The sequence below is a fragment of the Homo sapiens genome, chromosome 3, assembly GCF_000001405.40.
Source record: "Homo sapiens chromosome 3, GRCh38.p14 Primary Assembly".
In the NCBI taxonomy this organism is placed as follows: domain Eukaryota; kingdom Metazoa; phylum Chordata; class Mammalia; order Primates; family Hominidae; genus Homo; species Homo sapiens.
In genome coordinates, this window is record NC_000003.12 from 124088634 (window position 1) to 124104573 (window position 15940).

The 15940-nt window shown below is 44.5% G+C and overlaps 1 protein-coding gene across 33 annotated transcripts in view; it reads left to right on the plus strand.

The window, feature by feature from the left end:
* KALRN (kalirin RhoGEF kinase) overlaps positions 1-15940 on the plus strand; it is a 692957-nt gene that overhangs the window by 55265 nt on the left and 621752 nt on the right. For 9 of the 33 annotated variants that reach the window (NR_028136.3, NM_001024660.5, XM_011513281.4 and 6 more), the window contains exon 1: positions 6074-6271. The exons of the other annotated variants lie outside the window; for them this stretch is intronic. Coding sequence is in view for 8 of the 9 variants with exons in the window: in NM_001024660.5 (NP_001019831.2) it covers positions 6205-6271 (67 nt within the window). In the remaining variant the exon portion in view is untranslated. Of the gene's footprint in view, positions 1-6073; positions 6272-15940 lie in introns of those variants that run through there. 33 annotated transcript variants of the gene reach the window in all.

A 15940-nucleotide genomic window follows, 5' to 3' on the forward strand; every position in this document is an offset into this window, starting at 1 on the left:
GTTCAAGTTTTATGGGATTAGTCTTATCTCCATCCAAAAGATGAAGAAACTGAGATGTGGGAAGTTATTCTAAAGCCTCAGCCCTTTCCCAGTACCTCGAAGGCTTGCAAATTAATGGTACAAAAGGTATAAAAAGGTTTATAGAATTTATGAGACTCAATTATTTTTAAGAACCATAAGCAGCATTCATTTGTTGAAAAGTAAAGTGATCTTCGCAACTAGTTTTTTTTTTCTTTTTGAAAATAAGAGCCAAGGAAGAGAATATTCAAATTGGCTAGTGTGCAAGTAATTTCATTATCCAGCTTGATGTGTATGTAGGGAGCCAGGGCATTCAGGTGAGTCAGATATTCTGATTTAACAGTGGGTGGCCCTGTGGAACACACACAGATTGTATACTTTCCATAAAAAGAAAAAAAAATACCCGAGGGACTAAAGCAAAAAAGGGACTAAGTAGAAAAAAAAATGTTGAGCTCTAGATATGTGCTAACCAAAATTTAGCATTTATTTGACAATACAGGGGTTTCCTTTTGATATGGTTGAACTTCACATTCATTATTATCAATCCTAGTCCTATGGTATGGTGCCTGATTTTACTGGGCAGACCTGCTGAGGGGGGCTATCTGGAAAAGTTCCTGGAGGGGATGGAGAAGGGCATGGGATGGAGAGAGCAGGTAGAGGTTCACAGGAGGGCTCTGCCTGGGCTGAGGAGTGAGGCTTCAGCTGTGGTAACTGGCAACTTAGCTTCCTGATTCTCTGATGGTGACCTCAGGGACTGAGAGATGTGAGGAACATTTAAGAGAAGCCAAACCTCCTGGGGGGTGAACGGCCTCCTGTTGGCCATGAAGTAACACCATCTCCTTTGATAGGCAGAGAAATGGCTCTTGGTGGAAATGAGATGGAGGAACTGCATGACTGGCTGCGAGGGAAACAGAGGAGGTAACAGTGAACTCTGGATTGCAGAGGCCTCATGGATCAGTTCTGAGAGGGTCTCTCCAAATATTTCCAGCTTTTTTTTTTTTCAGGAAGAATTCCTTTGCAATGTAGGTGCCTTGGGGAAGGCAGCCAACCAGGTGTTCATGCTGAGTAGGAAATGGGAGGTCAGGGCAGTGAGGGAGGATGGAAGGTGCACCAGCTTCTGTGATTGACTTCATCAGGATGGCCTCACAGGGACATGCCTGTGAAGACCTAGGGAAGGGAGTCATGGACTCTGCTCCCTGACTGCAGATATCCACCCCCACCACTGCTTACCTAAGGCCTGCCCTCCTCTATGCCTTCCTTTGACCTAGGCTTTATCTTTTGCCAAGATAGGAATATTTCCTGAGGGCCTAAATATTAAGCTCTCATCATAAATACCTTGGATGGGATGAGGTTGTCATGGTACTTTTCACAGGACCTAGTGGAGAGGGCATGGGGCCCAGGGTAGACGAGCTTTATAAGGTCCTGAAGGAGGAGAGGGGACTGGCTCTTGTGTGGGCAGTGGGGGGTACTGGGGTGACATGCTGTGTTAGAGATTCAGTGCAACATGGGGGTTCTATTGACTGCTGGGGGAACTAGAAGCCCCCAGAGAAGGGGTAGGGAGGGATCAGGTTTTCACCACTTAACAAGGTGGTTTAGAGCCCAGGGCAGTGAAAGGTTGTCTTCCATGAGCTGGGCATGCCTCAGCCAAGGCAGAGTTAAAGATCCTCAGCAGAGGTCGGAGGTGAGCAAGATGAAAGCTACACAAAAGCTGAGGCAAGGAGGAATAATTAGCTTCTGCCTTTCCCTCCTGCTGCCTGGCCTGATATTTGAGGTGACATTTAAAGCCATTGTACAGATGTGCAGTGGAACTGTGGCAGAACGAAGGCTTTCTGGAGCCTGTGGAGAGATGAGGCTGATTTCTCAGCCTCCTGGGTGGCAGCTTCTCACCCCTCCATGTGGGGCCCTCTACTGGGCCTTGAGAGGAGAGAGGCCCCTCTGCCTTCCAGGTGAGCATACTCTAATGGGGGACTCAGAATCTCCCTCCCTATTGGACTCTCAGGGTGTTGGGGGAGGTGGGGTACGCACTAGAATTCAAGATAGTGACACGAAGCTGGTGCTGAGGGTAGGAGAGGAGAGCACGGACTGAAGCGGATGGATCACCATTGCAGAATTCTCTGGGGAGCTTGTTAAAAATGCAGGCCTCTGGGAGTGAGGCCTTGTTATCTGTATGGATAACCAACCGTCTAAGGTGATTCTGCTGCCCATTAAACTTTGAGAACCTCTGAGATAGAGAATGTGTGAGGTTAGCTGGAAAGGGCCTCTTGGGAGGGTGGACTTGAATTTCAGTGTCTAGATGATACTTACTTGCTGTAGATACTGTCCTCAGGTGTGGACCTAAGAAGCCCGTTCACCTGGGGACACTAAGCTGTCATGGGAGAGACTGGCAGGGGTCCAACCCACCCTTGAAATGGTATCCCTGGGAATGTGTTGCCACGGGTTCCACTCCACCACTTGGGCGCTAATCGCCAAGGGGACAGAAGTGGTGTGGGAGGTGACTGAGGATGCTGTCTGCTGGAGTGTTTGATTCATGTTACAACTGAAGCACAGCTTGCAGGTCAAAATGGTAGCCGGGTGGAGCCCGCTTGTTGGGGCAGGGTGAGGGAGATCAGTATGTCTGTGGACGGTCTTCACTTTGGTTTGCAGATACCAGCAACTATGCTACCTCCTGTATTGCCTTCACTTGCCAGATAGGTCCATGTGTCTGAGGAGTTGGGCCAGTGCTGCTGAGGGGACAGTGGCCATTGTCGTCCCAGGAGATGAGTGGGAAAGATTTGGGATATGGTTGGATCTCTCCTCCCTCCGTGCTGCTTGCCTTCTGCTCTATACACTTGTGCTGGCTTTATCTGATTGGGAACACAGTGTTTTCAAGTTGGGGTGGGTGAAGAGAGGGAGAAAGAACAGTGCCAAGGAAAGAAGAAGGAACATCGAAGAGAAAGGAACACATCCATGTTGTGATATCAAATAACTGCTGAACATCCGGATGGGCATCAGCCCTCTGGAGTGGATGGGCTGTTGCTGGCCTGGTGTCACTGCCTGTCCCTGGAAAACATGTCTCTGTAGCCAGCTGGGTGGGCTGGAGGAAACACGTGAATGGGAATAGTTGTGCTTGCTTTGACCATGATGAAAGAAGGAGCCACTGTGGAAGCATTGTATAAGACAAAACAAAAACAACAACAAAAACCTACTAATAAGGCTGTGTCCTGGCCAATATCCTTTCTAATTGCACTGCAGTTAAATGGCAATGCTGACAGTCTCTTGGAACATTTTATTCAACTTCTGGAGGGGCTGCATTTCAAGTAAGACTTATGAGGCTCTGTGGGAGATGGAGAAATGAGCAGTGGTGGGCTGGGGAGCTCCAAGGAGCCCAGCCTGATGGGTTGAAGCCAATCTTGAGTAAAACTCCAGGCTGAATGGGTTCACCCTGGGGCTGACCCAATGGGCATTGCTTATGTTCTTAGGTCTGTTTGCGGGGGAAGTGCTTGCACCCATATTATTCTTGACAGTCTTTATTCCCATTTTCTCTGCAAATGAGACTGTGTGGAATGTTTTGCCCTTGATTACTGGAGGGAGGGGAACAGAGCCAGCTTCTTTCTCCAGCCCCAAGAATGAGGCTTGTAGCACTAGCACCATTAGAGCACTCTCTGGGACTTTCTGCCTCACAGTCAGATGCTCTTCCCCTGCCCCTCTCTGTCTAGGTCTCCTGCCATGATGCGAGCCTCCCGTTTCAGATTTCTCCCAAGTTGTGTTAGAAAAAGCCTTTTTGGCATTCTTACTTGGAGATGCACTCTCTCTGCAGTTATAAGTCAGGGGCCAAAGAAAAAGATGAAAAGCCCTTAGTTAATAAGTGGCCACATTTGGACCCTCCACTCAACCTGTGCCCATGGCATGTCAGCACTGCCCTGGAGGGGCCTCCCTCAGGGTTCCTGTTAGGAAACAGCAGTGTTTCCCCAGGTCCTGCCCTACTGTGAGGGCTCCCGTATCTCAGTGAAACGTGTCACAATTTCCCAGAGAATCTCTTAGTGCCCCAGAAACTCTCAGGGAGGAGACAGATGGGCACCTACGAGTTATCTGACCTTAAACAAGTTATTTAATCTTTTGGAACATGGATTTTCTCTTCTGTATACTGGAGAAAGTGATTCCCATCCTACAGACCTTGCAGGGCAAACAGGAGATGATAGTTATGAAAGTACTTTGTGAACGAAAAAGTACTGGCCACATGTGAGCGATGGATTCTTGTTACTCGTGAAGGGAGAAACACCGGGTTACTTCTCTCTGGAGGGAGGAGGAGGGGTTTGCATTCTTGTGTTAACTACACACTGGAGTCTTGTCCATTTAAGGTAATAAGAAAATAATGCTAACAGAGCCTGAGAGGTAGCTTCTTGGGTGGTGATGTCTCTGCCGAGACCCAATGCTGCCGTTTAAGAAGAAACCACAAGGCAGTTGGGGGGCAGGGGCAGGCGGTGGAGGTTGTGACTCTGCTTGCTTTCTCCCTCTCCCTCCTTGCTCCTACCCCCTGGACGTGCCTCCTCCCCAGTCTGAGTTCTTCAGAAATCTGCACCCTCTCTCATCTTGGAGGTATAAGTTCCAAGGAAGAGCTGGTGCTGAGGGAGACATGCCTCCAGTTGCCTGATGGAGACCAGGAGGCCTGGGAGACCACCATTCTGTTAGGACAGTGAGAAGGCATTGCTGGCATGGCCTAGGCTGCACAGAGCTGTGATGAATGTGCAGATGGCTGTTGGGTAGTTTTTAGGCTTGGAGAACAAGGTCATCCTAGACCTGGGGACTCCTCAGGTTTCATTTCAGTGAATAGCACTCCCAGTCACCTGGGTCACAGGCTGGCCCACTGTAAGAGGGGCTGTGATTGGGCAAGGACTGGGCACCCCGTCATGCCCCAAAGGCCTTAGACAATGCCCAGGGGCTGAGGTCTCTGCAGCTTACTTTTCTCCTTGCCTTGAAAATAACATTGTATCAGGGACTCAGATGCCCTTGCATGTTCATTTGTCTAGTTAGTAATCACTCGAGTAACTGCGAAGTTCAGGGTTCTTTGAGGGACACAAAGATGGAGTTTATGGGCAAGTAAGGGAGAAGAGTCATATACAAAGGAGAAGGTGGAATGAAAAAAATAAAATATAAAGGAAGGAAGATCAGGGAAGTCTGCCTGGATTCTGTGGCATTTGAGTTATTTGTTGGAAAAATTAGGCGGATTTGGCCATGATGAGGTGGAGAGTGGGGAGAGCATCCTATTGGCAGGAAGGGCAGGAGCAAAGTCCTGGGGATAGAAAACCGTGGGATGTATGAATGTGTGGGGAACTGAGAGTCTGGCAAGAGGGAGAGGGGTTGAGAGGTAAGGGAGAACCTTCTATCTACCAGTATCTACCAGGTGCAACACCAGAAACATTATATTCTTCTTTTGCTTTGAGGCTCACAAATACTGTTCTCTCTGGTTTACAGAGGAGGAAGCTGAGGCACATGGAGCTGAAAAACTTGATCCAGGCCAGGCAAGTATTAAGTGGCAACCAGGATTTGGACCCATGACTGTGTGACTTCAAAGCCCATGCTGTCTCTACTATAACAAAGGTTCCATGAAGGGACGTAGGGAAAAAGGATCTGTGGCCTTTTACCAGTCATGCAGGTCCTGCAGTCTTGGGCAAGGAGAGCCAGTGGTCCCTACAGTGAGGCAGTGAGGCAGTAACGCTCCCAGGCTCCTGGACTGGCCTCAAAGTCCAAAATGGCCGAGCTTCTGGCTTCCCATCCCATATTCTATTGGAGGAGCCACTGGCCTCTGGTGTGGGAGGTATGGAGGCCAGGATGGCAGGAGATGCTGGAAAAAATTTAAGACATGGACTTGACTGTGGATTTTCATTCTCAAGACCACTGCAAACCTCGCGTCTTTGCGAAAACCCTTCCTGACTCCCTCCCACGCATCTCCGACCTCCCCTTGGGTCCAGGCAGGCTCGGTCTGCACACGGCGTTGTTCTGCACTTGTTCCTTTGTTGCTGTGAAACCGGCTCCCGGCACAGTCAGCCTCTGTGTGGGAGGACTGGTGGCTGTCTTTGCAGGCAGGCATTTGCTTAGAGCAGGCTGTGTGCGAGCCCAGCGTCAAGTGATTCCGGCCTCCTCGAGTCAGCGGTGGTGGGATGAGGCTCTGCCGAGGGGACTGGCTGTGAAGGATGAGTTCAGGGTGGGATGACGGACCGCTTCTGGGACCAGTGGTATCTCTGGTATCTCCGCTTGCTCCGGCTGCTGGATCGAGGTATCCTGAGTGTGTGTATGCTTGTATGAGAGACTGAGAGAGATAAATACACATAGAGACATAAAGAGACATGCAGAAAGACACAGCAGAGAGGGGAGGGGGGTCAAGAAGAGAGAGAAGGAATGAAACAGAGGCAAGTAGCAAACCCATGGAAAGTAAAGAAAGGCTGTTTTTCTGGGGACATGTATGACCCAGCTGGGAATCGGGAGCACAGGGTCATTTGGGGAGCATCTGTATAACAGGATCTCATTTCTTGCTGGGTTTTTCATCAAGCTCAGTACTCTAGTCAAATACAAGTTAAGCCCTGTCTTGCAGGGCTCTTGATAGAACTCTCTGAGAAGCAGTGCAGAAGGAGAATGATTCCTGCAGTAAGAAGCTGGGGGCAAACAGACTCAGGCTCAAGTCTCAGCTCTGCCACTGACCTTAGCCTGATTTATGTGACTTTTCTGAGCTTGTTTACCCATCTATAAAATGGGCACAGTAAGACCTATGTGCTGAGGTTGCTCTGGAGCTATTATTTAATTCATACATGTAAAATATATAACATCATATATGGTGCACACAGTAGGTGCTTAGTAAATACTGAGTTCCTCCCTATGCACCTCTTAGCTTCACAGAACTATTACTACCTATCCTGAGGATAGCTCCCTTTTTTGATTATCTACAGATACAGCCGGTACAGAATTTGCAGTTAGTGGAAAGAAAAGAGAAAATCAGTTTTATTTCTCAGGTTAATCTGACCTTAATACATTTTATCAAATATTAATGCAATTAAAGTCTTCTGATAATGTGACACAAATCCAGATGTTCTTTTGTAAGGAAAAGCCACTGTGAACTTGTTTGGTAATTGATTTTTTAAAATGTTGAATATTATTTTTAAAAGCTTTGGCTTCTTTAAGAGGTTTTGGCAAGAATGAGATCAAACTCCTGATGGAAAAGATGGCCCTGGGGAAGCCTTGCTATACAGCCCAAGGTGTATTCATCTCTGTGAGGAATAGTCTTGGTGTGCCGGGAGATCAATACCAGGTGGAAGCAGACAGCTGCACAGAGCAGGTGAAACAGGGCCCTTATCAGGGGAGAAATCAAAGATGGAGGAAACCAAACCAGCACACACTAAAAGCAGTTTCTCACTAGCACCGAGAAACAGGCCAGTGGGAGCCCAGACTTGAGATGAGGGCGTTAAGAAGGGCATCAGAACTTCACACTGATGAAGATTATAGACTGGGAGAAGGGAGAAGAGACCACTAGATGTGAATCCTCCTTATCTTTGTGACCTCAGGCAAGTTGCTTAACCTCTCTGTATCTTCTTTCCTTCATTCGTAAAAAGGGGTGATGATGATAATGGTAGTACCAACTCAGAGGGTTGCCGTAGGGGCTAAGTGAGAAACTACAAGTGAAATACTTATCCCAGTGCATGGCACAAACAAAGTACTCTTTAAATGGTAGTTTTCATTACCAAGGCAGTTAATTCTCACTCTCCAACAAACATCCTGGGAAAGACAGGAACAGGTGGTATATAATAACCGGGAACTAAGAAAAGTCCAATTAAGAATGGTTAGAGGCTTAGAGACAATTTATACTTACATGAATTTAAACAAGATTCACACTACCATATGATGCTAATTATAAGAAGAAACTAGATGTTAATGTATAAGCTATAATACTACCAATTTATTTTTATCTTTTAGAAATGCTTGAATCCATGAGTCACAAACTTAGGCTCAAGTTCTGGCTCCATTGCCTTCTAAGTGCCCTTGAATAAATGGCTAAGGGTAAGGACTTAAAACATAAAGGGTCTTGTTTTCTAGGGCTATACTTAACCAAATTCTCAGTTTGTTAATCTTAAAAATTGGAATATTAATAATAATGCCTACATCATAGAATTTGGGGGAAATTTATTGTGTTAGTGCATATACAGTGTCAGGCGTTTTGGAAATGTCAGGTTAATGAATTTATGGGTTGATAGATTAACCTGTCACCTTGGATAGCAAAAGCTGGTTGCAAGAATTATGTGGTCTTCCATGCACGTTTGATCACCACATATGGCTGTAATTTGAAAGTTTATGTGTATTTCTATCTATAGGGTTTTCCTTAATGTGAAGTTTTAGACCAGTAGCTCTTGACTGTGTAGGGTGTCTGATTTCCAGGTGTTTGGAGGTTGGGTGTTGATTATGTTGCCCAGTTCTGGTTAATCAGTATTAAAGTATTACACATGTGTGCATACCCACATCCATATTCAAAAAGAATTTTCAGTTATAGCAACTTTCCTCTTGTAACGAATGTTACCTAACATTGCATAGAAAATGGCATGCTTTAAAGTGGCATGTTAGGCTGAGCTAGCTCATTGAAAGATGCTCAATAAATATTTGTTGAAGGAATGAATGAGTAAATGAATGAAAGATGAACCTGCCTTTCTGGGCAGTGAACAGAATTCCCTTAGATTTGATCTTTCTTAAGTGTAACAGAATTTAGCTCCTTTGATCTGTTTGAAGATTTTATATCATTTTGCCCTCATCATTGTCGTGCCTTATGTCATCTTGAAAGTAACAGGCCTCAAGAAAGTAAGGAGGGGATAGGAAATGAGAAGTGGGAACTGATGAGTTTATCCCAGGAAATTGAAATAATGGATGAGCTGTATGCTGGCCTGAGTCACTCACTTGGCTGTGACTGGAGGATAAGTGAATCTGTGATTTGACACACCTAGGAAAAGGCAGGAAACATTAGAACACATCATGGAGCTGAAATAAACTTTACAAAGAAATAACAGCGTAGGCTTGATGATTGCAGACTAATCTTTTGTCTCCCCTATCACTGTTCAGCTAAGGGTAAGGATTTAAAAAATAAAGGGTATTGTTTCTAGGGCTATACTTAACTATATGCAAGAATTTATTTGACAGTGTACTACCAGCTTGTTCAGACATTATTTTGATGATTTATTCTCCTTAATAATAGATGCTGTTTTTGTGGTGTTTGTTACTGGGCGTTTGCCAATTCTGCTGATTGTATTCTGTGCTTATAGACGTTGACTAAGGAGATGGTTGCTATGGTGGGGACTGTCTATCAAAAGAAAAGAGCTCATAGAGATAAGAAGCATGAGTTGTATATAAAAGAAGTCACATTGCTTTTTGTTGTTGAGTTTTGGTGTATTCATGGGGACCTGACAAGTAAGGTAGGGGTTTACGTTCCTTTGTTTACATGTAATTTTTTTTGGTAATGGGAAGAATGAAAGACTGCTGCTCTTTATTCACAGAGCATCAGGCAGTGTTTCCCAGCATGTGGGAATGTCCACCACTGGTAGTACATGAGATGATTTTAGGTGATTTACAGATGTTTCTTGAGCTTCTCTTGCTGGTCACTGCTTGGCACAGTCCAGAAGACAATCTGTTTTCCCCGATGCCTGCTTCTGTTGGGCTGTCCACTCCTGCCCCACCCATTCACTGTGGGCCCTCCTTAATCCCACCCATTCCTCAGCTCTCTCTTCGTTCCTACCTCTGGTCTCCCTCTTCTCCTTCTGGCATCCCTGCCTGGGCCTCACACTTTGCCCTGCCTTAGTTTCTTGGCCCCAGTATGTCTCCAGCCTCCCTGGCCCTCATGCCTATTGTCTGTCCCTTGTGTTCTTTCAAGGCACAGCTTTATGCTACCTGCTACAAGTATCCCCATTCCCTGGCATTTCTCTATTATCCTCTAACTAATTGCCCAGCTTCCATCCCTTCTTATGTCTGTGCTGGGCCACCTTCGCCCCACAGATCCTGTGTCTCCAATCCTGGACTTGCGCCTACCTGTCTTCCTTGCCTCTAATCCTGAGTGCCTTTCCCTTTCAGCCATGATCTTCTTTTTTCTTTTTCTCCTACCTTTTTATGTCACCTTGCAGTCCACTAATTTCTTTTATAAAGAAGCATAAGTAAAAAAGAGTCAACTTAATATCAAGGAAACAACAGTGTAGGAGGTATGTGGATATGGTTAAAATAGTGACAGAAGTACAAAAATTACTGATGTTTGTCATTATGTCAGCATCTCACATGTTGAACTTAAGTGATATGCTGAATTAGGCTTCTAATTTCTTCTTGATGCTTTTAAAAATTGACACATAATAATCGTACATATTTACGGGTACACGTGATATTTTGTTACATGCATACAATGTGTAATGATCAATTCAGGGTACTAAGGCTATCCATCACCTCGAACGTTTCTTATTTATGTTAGGAACATTTCAAATCTTCTCTTCTAGCTATTATGAACTATACAATATAGTGTTATTAATGATTGTCACCCCACTGTGCTATCAAACCCTAGAACTTACTCTTTCTGTCTATATGTTTGTACCCATTCACCAACCTATCATTGTACTGTTTACACCGTAAGATGAACTTTTTTAGCTTCCACATATGAGTGAGAACATGTAATATTTGTCTTTCTGTACCTGGCTTATTTCACTTAACATAATGACCTTCAGTTCCATCTATGTTGCTGCAAATGACAGGATTTCCTTTTTATAGGTGAGTAGTATTCCATTGTGTATATATAACACATTTTCTTTATCTATTCACCCATTGATAGACACTTAGATTGATTCCATATCCTGGCTATTGTGAATAGTGCTGCAGTAAACATGAGGGTACAGGTATCCCTTGATATACTGATTGATCTCTTTTCTTTTGGATAAGTACCCAGTAGTGGGATTGCTGGATTGTATAGTAGTTCTATTTTTAGTTTTTATGAGAAACCTCCATACTGTTTTCCATAACAACTGTACTAATTTACATTCCCACCAGCAGTGTATAAGAGTTCCCTTTTCTCCACATCCTCACCAGCATCTTTTATTTTTTGTCTTTTTGATAATAACCATTGTAATTGTGGTAAGATGATATCTCATTGTGGTTTTGATAGCATTTCCCTGGTGATTAATGATTTTGAGCATTAAAAAAATATACCTGTTGGCCATTTGTATGTATTCTTTTGAGAAGAGCCTATTCGGGCCAGGTGCAGTGGCTCATGCCTGTAATTCCAGCACTTTGGGAGGCCAAGGCAGGTGGATCACCTGAGGTCAGGAGTTCGAGACCAGCCTGGCCAACATGGTGAAACTCCATCTCTACTAAAAATACAAAAATTAGCTGGGCATGGCAGTGCGCACCTGTAATCCCAGCTACTCAGGAGGCTGAGGCAGGAGAATCGCTTGAACTAGGGAGGCAGAGGTTTCAGTGAGCCAAGATTGTGCCACTGCACTCCAGCCTGGGCGATATAACGAGACTCAGTCTCAAAAAAAAAGAAAAAGTCTATTCAGATCATTTGCCCACTTTTTAGTGGGATTATTTGGGTTGTTTTGTTTTGTTTTGTTTGCTGTTACGTGAATTCCTTGTATATTCTGGATATCAGTCCCATGTTGGATTAACAATTTGCAAATATTTTCTTCCATTCTACAGGTTGTCTCTTCACTCTGTTGATTGTTTCCCTTGCTGTGCAGAAGCTTTTTAGTTTCAACAAGGGTGCCAAGAACATATATTGGGAAAAGGACATCCTTTTCAATAAGTGGTGCTGGGAAAATGGGATATCTATATTCAGAAGAATGAAATTAGACCCCTATCTCTCACCCTATACAAAAATCAGCTCAAAATGGATTAAAGACTTACGTGTAAGACCAGAAACTATGAAATTGCTAGAAGAAAACATAGGGAAACCCTTCAGGATATTAGTCTAGGCAAATATTTTATGGCTAAGACCTCAAAAGCACAAACAACAAAAACAAAAGTAGACAAATGAGATTATCTTCTTGGGACTGTCAACATTCCTGTAGCTACCACAAAGTGTTTTGGATTCTGGACCAGAAACCAGCTGTTCTCACCTCTCAATGTATGCTAGAATCATCTGGGAACTCTTAGAAAGCGTAATGTCCAGTTCCTCTGTTTCAACACCCCCACTTCCACCTCCAGCCAATTAAATTGGAATAGCTGGAAAGGGGGCTAAACACTGGCATTTTAAAGACCTCTGTAGGTGATTCTAATGGCAGCCAGAGTTGAGAACTGCTTGTTGTCATCCTTTAACATGGATGTCAGAGAGTAAGGGCAAAAGGAACTCTGTTGCAAAATAACAAAATGAACGAAAAACAAGTCACTACATGGGAATAGTAAACATAGGAGAACACATAGAACATTGCTAAGGAACAAACTGTGTAAGAACGCAATCTTTTGGATACACCTCATGCAACTGTCTTTACAAACTTCAACCATTTTCAATGACTTTCTAGATAAACCTTGACTTTCCTTCATATTCCCAGAAAAGCAATTGACCTGTGTCCCAGGAGGTTGTTTGGCCTCAGCTTGCTTTGGGTTTATTGCTCTCAGTTCAGGCTGCTGAGGGGTTTGGAGGTAGGGATGGTGGTCTGTCACTGTAGATGTCAAAAACCTTTCCTTCCTTGGTTAGTATAACTCATACTAGGAAGGCATTAGGTGGGCATTGTCCATATTCTGCCAGAATTAGAGAAAGAAAAATCGTTTTCTGCCTTCAGGATAAATGGGAGGTAAGGAGAATAACTGTTTTCAAGGCTTCATGGTGTTGGGCTCTACTTTGACCAGGAATCTACTTGGGTTTGTCACTAAAGTTCACCTCTCCCTGTCTGGCCATTCTTTGTTGTCTCAACTTTCAAATCTCCCAAACATTCCAAGTCAAGGATTGATTCTGCTCAGGTGCAAGAAGTCAAGAGGCAGCTGGACCTCATGGTCTTGGTTGTCAGGGTACCCTGATCTTTGTGCTTTCCTTTTCCTCGCTCTCATCCTCACCATGCCTGCAGCCTTTTTCTGGCTCCTCATCTTCTATGTCTGACAGATACCCTGTCTTTGACTTGCTCTGTCATTGGCTTGCCTGCTGCTCAGCTATCTGCACAGCTCTGGCCCCTAACCAGGTCAGACTTGGTATCTGTGCTTAGGCCATCTGCTTGTAACTGGTCCCTAGCCTGCCATGGACTCTGGATACCCACTGTGGTCTGGCTTACCCTGTTCTTGTTAACTATTGCATATGTGTGCCCAGCATGATGTGTGGGTTCTTTGTGCCAACCTTTATGACTTGTTCCTTCTTTCTTATATTCAGTGGGAAAAAGAAGAGAAAAGCACGCAGCATGTGTATGAAAAGCACATTGGGTGATTCTGCTGTGCTAGGGTTTTTCTAATTAGAGGAGTTTGTTTTAATCACCTTCTCATTTGAGCCAAATATTCAGGTAATACATAAAGAAGTTACTTTAAATTGGCTTTTATAGTCATCTATGTATATATACCTATTAGAGTTATTTAATTGGCTTTTGGCACAAGATCACTTTACTAAAGGGACCAGGCCTCTTGTCTAATAAAGAGTTTGAACACACACCCGTTTGAAACACCATCACAGAACAATTCCCTGTTGTTCTATACCAGAGCCTCACCAGCAACCTTCATATTTTCTTGTGCTTTCTCTTGAAATGCCCCAAACCTCCTCTTCTTATAGTTAATCCACATTCTTTTCCCTCCCAACCTCTTAGCCCTGATGTCCTCCAGAAAAATATCCCCTGACTGTACCTGGTTCCGTTCAGAGACTCGTGGTCACTAGGTGCATGGCTAGTGTTCTGTAATTCACAATGTGCTCCTGTGGGTAGTAATAATACATACCTCAGGAGGTTGTTGTGAGCCTTGAAGGAGCTAATATGTGTGACCCGTGTTTGGTACCAGTAAGTACTCAGTAAGTATGTGCTTGTTTTCTGAATTTTTGCAGCTTTAGGAATCTTAGTTTCTTGTCAGGGATAATTTCCCTCCATTAAGAGTGGAGTTTCCCTGAGGGCAAGCCCTTGTCCCCACTATCCTTTGTATTTTCACCTAGATACCTAATTCAAAGTTATATCCTAATAGGAAACCTAATAAATAACTTTGGCTAACAGAGTATCTGAACTCTCCAGGGAACCATTGATTATCACAGCATTGTTAAGGAGGAAAAAGATAAATGTAATTATTTGATAATTCCAAATATCTTACCCCTTTGTTTCTCATTATGCCTTTCTGAGATAGATCATATCACTTCCCGTTTCACAGATAGGAAACAGGCTCGTAGAGATTAAGTGCTTGGTTAAAGTCAGAGAGCTGCTAAGGGAAAAGTCAAGATCCAGGACCCCGGACTCCTGTCTAGGATGGGTTGCCCCCTCTACCTGCTGCCATACAGATGGGAAGAGCTCCATCTGTCTGTCTCTCCAGCATGCATGTTAAACTGGGAGCCCAGCCACCTTCCCTGTCAGCAGGTAGTAGAGCGTATCATTGGGATGTCTTGTCTGTGGTGTGAACTACCCAGGCAAGATGTATCTAGGCCAAGTCCTAGGGGAAGGACACTGATAGCTGCTTTGTGAGGTCCCGGTGTGGTGTTTCCATCCAGTGGGGTGGAGATTACTGTGATGTGAGAACAGTAAAGCAGCACTTGCCCAGATATGGCATGTCCTCCCAGGGCCTGTTCTGTGGTGGCATACTCAGTGGTTGCTGAGAACCAAGGGGCAGTGGGACAGCTGTGTCCCTGGATATTCAGAAGGCTAGTTGGATCCCCAGTATAAGTGATGGGTTTGCTCTTCACCTTGTGGACAGAGGTGGCTTGTTATCAAAGAAAACACCAAAGCAATTAGTATCGTTGTTGTTATTAGTAGCAGTAGTAATAGACTCTACTAAGGGTCCAGGTAGAGCAGGGAGTGATTAGGGTTAGGTGTAAGCTCGCTGCCCTTAGGGAGCTTACAATTCAAACTCCTGAAAGATCAAGAATCAACAGTAAGGCTGGGCGCAGTGACTCATACCTGTAATCCTAGCACTTTGGGAGGCCGAGGTGGACAGATTGCCTGAGCTCAGGAGTTGGAGACTAGCTTGGGCAACATGGTAAAACCCCATCTCTACTAAAATACAAAAAATTAGCCGGGTGTGACGGCATACAACTATAGTCCCAGCTACTCAGGAGGCTGAGGCAGGAGAATTGCTTGAACCTGAGAGGTGGAGGTTGCAGTGAGCTGAGATCACGCTACTGCACTCTAGCCTGGGTGGCAGAGCGAGACTCCATCTCCAAGAAAAGAGAGAGAGAAAAAAAAAGAATCAACAGTAACATCTCTGCATCTCTGTTGGCCCTCTTTCAAGTGATACTTATAAGGGGGAGCTCTTCTAGCTCTAATGTTTCATGGTTCTGTGTGGACAATACCTACAAAATATTTACCTATAATACCTATAATATATCTTTGTGATGCCGCAGGTACTCTTTCATGTTAAGTTGCTAGATGAGTGCTATGAATTTACAAGAGAGAAATAATTGGGTCTGAATGAAAGAAGAAATGTTCATGTATTCAACAAATGTCTTCTAAGGTCCTACTATGTGCTTTGCTCTACCCAAGGCTCTGGAAATACAATGCTAAAGAAGACAGTCTTCTTGTCTTCGTGAAGTGTTATGGTTCAATGGGGGAAGTAGACAATAACAAATAACACAATAGATAATGCAATGACAGGATAAAAAGGAGAGAACAGGGTTAAGCTTTAGTAGCCCTGAATTACGAGGATGGAAATCAGCAAATACAGGGTGTGCTTGGGGAATGAAGACTAAATCAGACTGCCTGGAGCATCTGTGTGATAAGAGTTAAGGTTGGAGGGACAGATTGGGGCTACCTTGTGAAGATTCTTGCATTGGCATGTT